Source organism: Homo sapiens, chromosome 2 (assembly GCF_000001405.40).
Source record: "Homo sapiens chromosome 2, GRCh38.p14 Primary Assembly".
In the NCBI taxonomy this organism is placed as follows: domain Eukaryota; kingdom Metazoa; phylum Chordata; class Mammalia; order Primates; family Hominidae; genus Homo; species Homo sapiens.
Genome location: NC_000002.12, coordinates 123,043,299 through 123,053,062, shown reverse-complemented (window position 1 = coordinate 123,053,062; position 9,764 = coordinate 123,043,299).

Below are 9,764 nucleotides of genomic sequence, written 5' to 3'. Positions count from 1 at the left end.
AAATGTATCTTTTTATATTTGGGAAGAAAACTGACAAATAAAGCTAACAAATCAACACCATTGATGTGTTATTTAGAGACACAAATATAAACACAGTAGTAACTGGAAAGAAGACAGACAACGTTGGCCCAGTACATGCAGGAGATAGATGTGGTGGGAGCTTATGGAAGTTCCCCTGTAAGGAATAGCAAGCAATTCTTCAGCTGATATGGAGGATTGAGGAGAAAAATGTTGGTTAATTAAGAACAGAGTAGAGAATTTGAAATAATTTCCTAGGAAATTGGGAGCAGTATGAACCTGTGATAACAAGAATAAAATACTTTATATGCGCCAGCAGCGGTAGCTCACACCTGTAATCCTAGCACTTTGGGAGGCTGAGGCAGGTGGATCATGAGGTCAGGTGATCGAGACCATCCTGGCCAACATGGTGAAACGCCACTGTCTCTACTAAAATACAAAAAATTAGCTGGGCATGGTGGCGCATGACTGTAGTGCCAGCTACTCAGGAGGCTGAAGCAGGGGAATCGCTTGAACCTGGGAGGCAGCGATTGCATTGAGTGGTGATCGTGCCACTGCACTCCAGCCTGGTGACAGAGTAAGACTCCGTCTCAAAAAAAAAAAAAAAACTTTATATGCTTTTGATTTTTAAAATCCTGTTATTATAGTATCTAGGTGCGTTTCATAGCAGAGCAAAGTAAAATGATTTATTCTTTTGCTTAATATCTTTTTTCTCATATCAAATCACCAATATTTCTATTCCCTGCTACTCACGCAGTTTGGTTGAAATAAATTTTACCCATAAAATGTTTGACCAAAAGACATGAGAAAACACATGGTTGTCTAACTGTATTTCATATTTAAAATGTGAACTTAAAATTAATGGTTTTGTGAAGTCCAAAGAACCTAACCAGTTCCCAAGCACAGTCAAACCATGTCGGGATCCTCCACAGCCACTGTAATTGGGTGGCTTTTCCAAGGCTGAGTGGTGTTTCCAAGTGGGTTCCTGACTTCTTGGCTCTTCGTTCTCATGTAAATCCCTCTTTCCTCTAATTCCAGCAATTCCAGAATCTTTCACAAAATTTAGCATATAAACATGCATCATCTGTTGTTATTTTTTTACATTGCTTTGACAACTATTTTGTGATGTTTATAAGGGCAAAGGTAAGGCCTTATAAAATATTTTCATTTGAGTCTACAAATACTGAGCACACATTTTCCAATAAACCTAGGACTGACACACAGGGTCATACTGACCTCTCTTCTCCTAGTAAAAGTGTTTGTTTATAAATTACTGTTGCTAATGATAGAAAAAATAAATTACAAACTCAGTTACAGGGAGGAAAAATTCTTTTTTAAAATTACATACTACAAAACTTCTGTTTAGCTATTCACAGCAGGAAACACAGTAAAAATTATTTAAAGCACATTAATTGAAATCAGCTCAGGCTACCTTCATAGAAAGTTGTTGCATAAAGGGAACAGTTATTCTAATTAAATCTAAAAAACCTACAGCTGTGAAACTATAAATTTTTATCTATGCTGGTAGTAGCTCTAAAAGTGAATCTAAGTTAAAATATTAACTTTTCCCCCATACAAATAATAAAAGACTTAAAACTTCCATAAAATGAATCAGATTGTTTTGGCCTTACTAAGTAGATGTGCTGATTTTGGCAGACTTTGTCTACCTTAGTATAAACTGTTCGCTACTTGCTATATCTCCTCATGCTGACTGTTTTCTGAAACTGTTTTCATAGCATGAGTAAACTAAAAAGGAACTCAGCATCTTATTTTTTATTTATTTATTTTTTATAAATCAGTTGTTCCTGTTCTGCCAGTTGCAACAAACAGCATCTGGTCTGTTGCCAGATGGAGAGTTAAAATCTCTCTCCAGCGTAGGAAAATCTGTTTCTAGATCCTAAAGTGTAGGTTTCACACAGTTTCAAACGCACATGTCCAAAACCTTGGCTACTAACTCTTCATTTAAAAGAGAGAAATGTGCCCCAACAAATGATTCGCCCCCAGAAAGTCAACAGAGAGAACGTTAAGTAGATAGTTTTGAAGATTTGAAAACTAGCCAATAATTAGAAGTTATCAATTGCTCAGTTGATTCTTTTCTTATGCATTTTGGTTTGCCTGACAGGTTGTGTCATTTTTGTAAAGCTTCTTCCTGTTCCCACAAAGCAGAGTATATTTGGAGAGTATTTGGAGATCTCTGAAGGCCTTTGAAATGTTTTCTAGAGCCTCTTTCACATTGTCCTTTCCTTTAAGACAAGGATTAGGAGACAAACGATGTATGTCAGATAGTGAAAGTTGTTTTTCTCATTAGTAATAACAACACTAACCATTTCATCTTTGCATTCTTTTATTATCAATCTATCAAATTCTGGTTCTAAAATAACTTTATTATGGTATCTCCAATAAATCCCATCTCTAAACAGTCATCATTTATTCCCTTTCCCCAAAATCATATAAAACATGTTTTACTCTAACTATCGCATATTTTTTACCAATGGTCACATGTCAATAATATTCCCATATTGTTAAATTTCCTATTCTAACTTGTGTTTTTGACATTGGTATATTTTCAAATCTCCGATGTATCTTACTGTCAATAGGTACATTTGCTGAATCATTTATCTCCCACTAAAAACTTGCTAAATTATTGATAAGCTTTATAACTGCTAACACTTTAGAATCAATACTATTTAGTACTTCTTTTGTTTATACTTGATAATCCTATTTCATAATCTTAGTGTCAGGTAAAATAGGAAATTAATAAGATCTCAGGTTTTGAAGTCAGAGATAGCTTGGGTAAAGTCCAGGTTCTGGGCCCTTGGACACATTCCTTAAATACACAAGTAAACTGCAAATGCTACTTAACTAACTTGTTTTGAGCACGCAGGCATATGTCAAGTGTTCAATAAATATGATTTTCCTTCTCTTTCCCCAGAAGACAAACTAATCATTCTGTTAATGGCAGGGAGCATGTTTAATATTTGCCTTATGTTCAGTGTTGTAGACATCCAACAGTGATATTATTAACTACAATATAAACCAAATTATTTAATGGTTTCTTCAGCCTTGATCACACCTGAAAACACTTCAGAGAACAATGGAAAAATATTCATAGCCACTGAGAAGCTAAACATGGTATGATTAACTCATATGCTAGCATGAGCCCACTCTACCACAGAAGACATGGCAATACCTACTCTTGTTTAAGACACAATACTAGCAAATGTGTTCCCTTTGTTTATATATTTCAAATATATTTTGTGGTGGAAATTTGGGTACTGTAGAGAGAGGAAATAGCTGAGCTAGGTAAAAAGTGATAGCTGTCTCTCAAAAACAGAGGAAGAAGACAAACTTTTTGATATATATTTCTATCCAGCTATAGAATACATATGAAACCATTATCTGGAGATCCTGGGGTTTTTTTTTCTTTTTCTCTCTTAGAATTTTCTTAAGCCCTTTAATTTTTGAATAAACAACCCTACGTAGCTTAGTTAATCTGAAAGTTGTCCCATTATGAAAGTCCAGAGCAAGAGTAGAAATCACAGTGATTCCTGCTTTATCAAGGAAAGGTTATCAGAGATTTCATATACTCATTCCAGAGGCACAAAGGTGTGAAATAAATCGAGAAAGAGTTCCATTCAAATTGGTTAAAATAAATTTTAGGCACTCCAAGTTTCAGTCACCTGGAAAATGATTTTATCTGGAATACCTCAGTCTTTGGTAAGGCTGTATGAACATGGTGTCATTTTGGTTATCTGATGAAGAAAAATGAGTTAATTGCTTTGGAAAATTACTCTGACAATATGGGCATGAAACAATGTATTAGAGAAGCATAAGGATAGAGTAAAATGGCCTGGATTTTGAAATTCTGTGCTTTGCACTTCAACTATCTAGCTAAATTCCTTAATGCTTCAAAGTTTAGTCTGTATAATGAGAATAATAAGACTTAATTCATAGAAATAACATATAAGAGGATAAAGATTGAAGCATACAATGCACATATATAATGATTGTTATGGTAGTATAAATGATTATTATCATCATTATTTTTGTTCATGTCATCGTCATCATAATGTGATTTCCAATAAGCATAAAATTACCTTTATATTAATAAGTAATAATCTAAAGAGGTTGAATTTGTTTGTCCTAAATTTTCCCCAGTTTCAACCCTATTATATTCCACTAGAAAAACAAAGAAAGTTGAAGAGGAGATGATGTTTGAGTGGAGAAGCAAGCTATGCCAATCCTTGTACAAGGCCACAACTTCCTGTCTGGAGGAGTATGGTCAGTAAGATACCAGACTCAGCAAGTTACCTTTTTTTCATTAATTAATATACATTAATCTCTTAAGTGATGAACAAATGCAAGTTTGTGTTATTACATGTTATTGTCAGAAATTATGCATAATAAATTAATCAATGTAGCTACATCCATGACAATTTTCCTGGGATCCAGAATGTTGTAATGGGGCTAATGACATTGTGTAGAGAAATGTGTATGGGAATTTGAATCAGTTCTTTTTTTTTTTTTTTCTTTAATTAAGGGTCTTCAACTTTTGGTGTTCTATGGTAATCGGCCTTTACAATAGTGTCTAGTGATCTTTGATTCCCTATATTTCATGTTTGGGGTTTAATTGCTGGATTTATTGGTGTGAGATTTTCAAGTCTAGGTCATAATGGGCATTGCACCTTCTACGTCGGACTCTTGGATTTCTGACTGTGGGGGATGTCATTTGTCATTCTGTGAAGACACAAGCAACCCTGTGGAAAGGCCCATGTGGAGGAGCTGAGGTACCTGCCAACAGCCATGTGAGCAATTCATGAGGCCCAGTTAGACCTCAGATAACGAAAGCCCCAGGGGCCATCTGTCTGCAACGTTGTGAAAGACCCCACTTCAGAACCATCTAGCTAAGTCACTTGTGAGTTCTTAAACCAAAGAACTGTGACAGATGACAAATAATTAACATTGTTTTAAGCCACCGCATTTCGGAGTGATTTCCTATATAGCATTAGATAACTGATACCATCTCTGGAACTTTTAACAAGTGATTTTTTTTCTTTTTTTTTTTTTTTTATCTCAGCATCATTATTTGCAAAATGATCAAGATAATGCCTAAGTCACAAGTTTGTGTTTGTTTGTTTTATGTGTATGTGTATGTGTGAAGATTCAATATGCTTATATATCTACAAGACCTGGTAAGTAATAATAAGTAGTTAATAAATACAAACTATCCTCTCTTACCATAATTTATGGGGAATGCATTGTTCTTCCTAAAATGCTTTGTACTTATAAGGAGAAATATTGAATATTCAGTTCAAAAACTTTGGTAAATATATGTGTAGTATAAGCCTTATAAGTCTTTAAGGTTATATAGTAGAATGGAATTCTAAAGCAGATTGAAATGTCAGAAGATCCCCTCAGGGAGATTACAAACAATTTGTCCAGAAATTGGGGGCTAGTTGCAATCTAGGAGGAATAGATGATTCCTATAACATCATTGTATGTTGGAAGACATAGAGAAAAAAAGGTTAAAAAAAAGATTACAGAATAATCAAGAATGTTTGGGAAGTAGAATGAAAGGTGAATATATGCAGTAATAATGTGTTCATTGCAAAATACAGAGCTGTTTATCTTACATGCATAACCCAAGATAAGCAGTCAAGGTAAATACAGTGACTGAGACTCAGAGATCCAGATCTTCTGCTCCAACATTCCTTGTAGCCTCTGCTATCCTGCTCATTGCTTCCTGTTTGCAGCATGAGTGCCACACCACCAGCTGTTCTGTTTTATGCTAACCAGAAATATAAAGTGGGGAGGGTCAAGGAATACATAGATTACTCCAAGAAGTTACCACTGACATTGAATTCCCAGCTATATCACATTGATCATAAATATATTACTTGGACATCAAAAGTAAGTAAATCATTGAGAAAATGAGTTATTAAATTCAAAACCAATGTGTATGGATTAGAATTTTGCTAGTAAGGAAGAAATTGGAGTATTTGATTAGGCAACCAGATATGTCAACTATTCTTATCAAGTGGAATAAAAGTGGATGCAGTTATTTACTTCTTATGGTAGCTATGCTCTATAAAGTCATTACAAACACTGAACTAATTAATACTGAATCATAGTTCCTAGAAGAAAAACAGGGTTAGGTTCCTATGATCCACTGGACACACATTTTCATCAGCTGATGCATACATAACCTTGTTTTAGGTCTATTTCATTTAAAATCAATCTTATTTAATATAGATTGTGATTACTTAACATAGAACTCACTGCCAACAACACTACGAGTTATCCCTAAGGGAAGTTTATCTAACACGTGTTTTCTGTAAGACAAATCACAGCATTCTTATGCTTACAATCATTAGACACCAATTCAGCACTAAATTGTGGGGTCTATCGAAACAGTAAAATCGCTAACAAGTACAAAAATGCGAAGATTGTGGCACTAAATATGCTGAAAACAATGACTTGTTTACAGTGTGAAAGCTGAAATAAGAAGGCAGTGTCACCTTGTTTTACCTCAGCTGGGAATGTGAGTCTCAGGCAACTAAAATTTTTGCCCTTCTGGACATGTCTGAGAATGACCAAAAAATCACTGTGAGTATTGATTTGAGGGTTACAAATAAGTTTTAGTGAGTCTGCAAATCCATAAATATGCAGTATGTGAAAAATGAGGACCAACTGTATTTATTTGGTGCTGGTTTATGCAAGGGAAGTGAGAGAGGAGCTGAGGCAAAATTACCAGCTTAAAAGTACACAGTCAAGGCAAGCATGAAATATCTAATGTGTAATGCTGGAAATGTAGAAGAGTGCTCCACAGAAAGGGAAGCCATCAAAATTGCATGGGAATATTATTTCCCTGTCACTCTCCATTTTACATTTGACGAAGAGAAAAAAAATATAATACACATAAGAATTTCACCTAATTTTGAAATAAATATGTTACATAATGTCTTATGGCTTTCAGATAATTCTGTAGATATCTCACTTTAGATATATTACTTTTTGCAATTTAATTCATTGGTACTAGACAAGGGAGGGAATATGTTCTGTCGGAAATCAGATTAATGCAGACTGTCCAAACATCCTCTAGGTGATCTATCAATGTCACTGGAGACTAACTCTGCTTGACCTTCACTGAACATGTGAATACAGATCTCACTCCTGATTAGCGAGACAGTTCTTGTTTTATTTGGACAGCTAGAACCTGGAACTGGGAGTAAAATATATTAAATTTATGTAACCTGGTTGAACTGGATGGATATTTAGCATAATGCCCCTAAATCTCATTCCATCTCCAAGGTTTGACGGCATTTACTTGGGGATCTATCACGCATCCAGTCATTGGTTAAGTGCTGTATACAACACAGAAGAGATATAACATAATAATTATTCCTCGCACTCAAGCAAATTACTTTGAGGGAGTATAAATGACTTATAAACAAAACAACCAGAAGACAATTAATAGAGTCTGAAACAACATGGTAAATTGTATGTGGAATGAGACTGAGAGACAGTCTCTATAGAGGAAGTAAGCCTTTATTTGGCCTTAAAAAGAAACACAGGAGAGTATTATTTGTTTAAAGTAATTATAATTCATTCTTTCATTCAAAAAATATACTGCATGTACATTATATGCCAATAACTCTTCTAGGCAATGAGGATATAAGAGTGAACAAAACAGAACTCATGTACAAAATAAAATAAGAGCTACAACATATTGAATACTAAATGTATGCAATGTTAATATAAGGTACTTTGTAAATCAGCCATTAACTCTTATAATACATTGTGCATTGCATGTAAAATACTATGAGTAGATTAAATGAGGAGAAAAAAATTTACATCTTTAAACTATGTTATAAGGGTAGATAGATAGATAGATATATTAAATAATTTGCCCATGGCCACAGATTAGTAAGTGATGAAGTAATCACTGTATGTGGTACCTGGCCAGGTTCCTTGAATTTTTTTTCTTAGTAATGTAATGCAAACCTGAACCTAAAGCTAATAGAAACCACTCTGGGGCACAACTAATGATATATTAGTTTATTTTTAAGTTCCTTAGAGATCAGAGGGCTTGGAGGGAATACTTAAAGTTTTTCAAAGGTAAAGTTAGAAGGTAAAACAAATGTTTTGGCTGACATGAGGGAGAGCAGAATTATTTGCTGCTACATGAAAGTATCACTGATGCAGCTTTGGGAGGGTAAGGACACACATGTTTCCTTTCTCTATTCTTTGGCAGATTTTTTCTCATAGAGCCTGAGAATGGAGTACTAAAAGAGCAAGAGTGAGGAGGGAGCAAAGCTTCTTTTAATATGTATTTGATTTAAACAACTTATAAGTAAAGACATTAGTAAAATTAACTGCTTAGAACAGATGCAAGCCCAAAGAGCCTGACCAAAAGATAAGATTCAACGTAAACTAAAAAAGGCTATCCTTATTTTCAGAAATTTTCTCACCTCAGTAAATCTAAACTCTTTCTTCAAATGTTTTATAACTGTAGGGTTTAGAAAACTGTCTTATGATTCAAATTTGGGTAAATTTTGTGGGGTTAAAGTTCTACTAATTAATATATTTTCCATTTAAAAATAACTTGACTCTCACTGGTTATAAATGTGAGGGTGAGCTCGTTAGAAAATTGTAATTTTGAGTCTCTTGTTGGAATTTAAAGAGTAAATTGCATCTGGGAGTTGAGGACACACTATTACTATCACCTGTCATTAGGGAAGTCACAGAAGCAAAAATCAACAAATACCTTAAGGCAATATCAACGAAGTACTCAAGATCTTAGATTTTAAAAATGACCTCACTTTGTCCATATTAAACAGTAAATATTTCATATTAATTACTCCCAATAATAGCTTTAAATATAAAATAAAATACCCCTAATGAAATGGAGACAGCTCTCAAGGCACTTAAATGTTTAATTTTAAAATTGGCATAGGTAAGAGTAATAAAAATAAGCCAAAAGTGAGGGAACTGCAATTAAAAATGTATTACTACTATGAATTACAGCCCATCAAATGTATATGTTGAAGCCCCAACCCCCAGCATGACTGTATTTGGAGAGAAGGTCTTTAAAGAGGCAAATTTAAACTAGGTTATAAGGGTAGAGTTCTAATCCAAGATGAATGCCAGTGAGCAGATAGCCATCTACAAGCCAGGAGAGATGCCTGAGGAGAAAACAACCCTGCCAGCACCTTGATCTTGGACTTCCATTCTCCAGAACTGTGAGAAAGTAAATTCTGTTGTTTATAAATAGCCAATCTATGGTATTTTGTTATGAGGTTCCAAGCAGGGTAATACATTTACCTATAGTTTCTGCTTCTGGAACTCTGATAGATAAGTAGAGATGCAACTTTTAGTAGAAAATCCTTGAAAATTATTGCACAATACCAAAAAATAAAAATAAAAACAAAAAAACCATTTTTAAGTGTAGCTGAAATAGTGCTAAAGCAATGGGAACAGTAGAAGTTAAGGAACTATAAGACAAAACACAATTGTTATAAGGTTCTAGAATGTAGACGATAAAAATATACCACCCCCCTATAACCACCAACCTATAGTGGGAGTTCAGAACTGAGATTCCTAAATAAACCTAAGACTCCAAATGGTATTACCCTCAGGGGGTGAACAAGAAAATATATGCATCCAAAACTTACAGAAAGACACTATCTTTTCTGGGTCTTGGTTCTTTATGGAAAATTAAAAAACAAAACTCTTCACTGAGCATA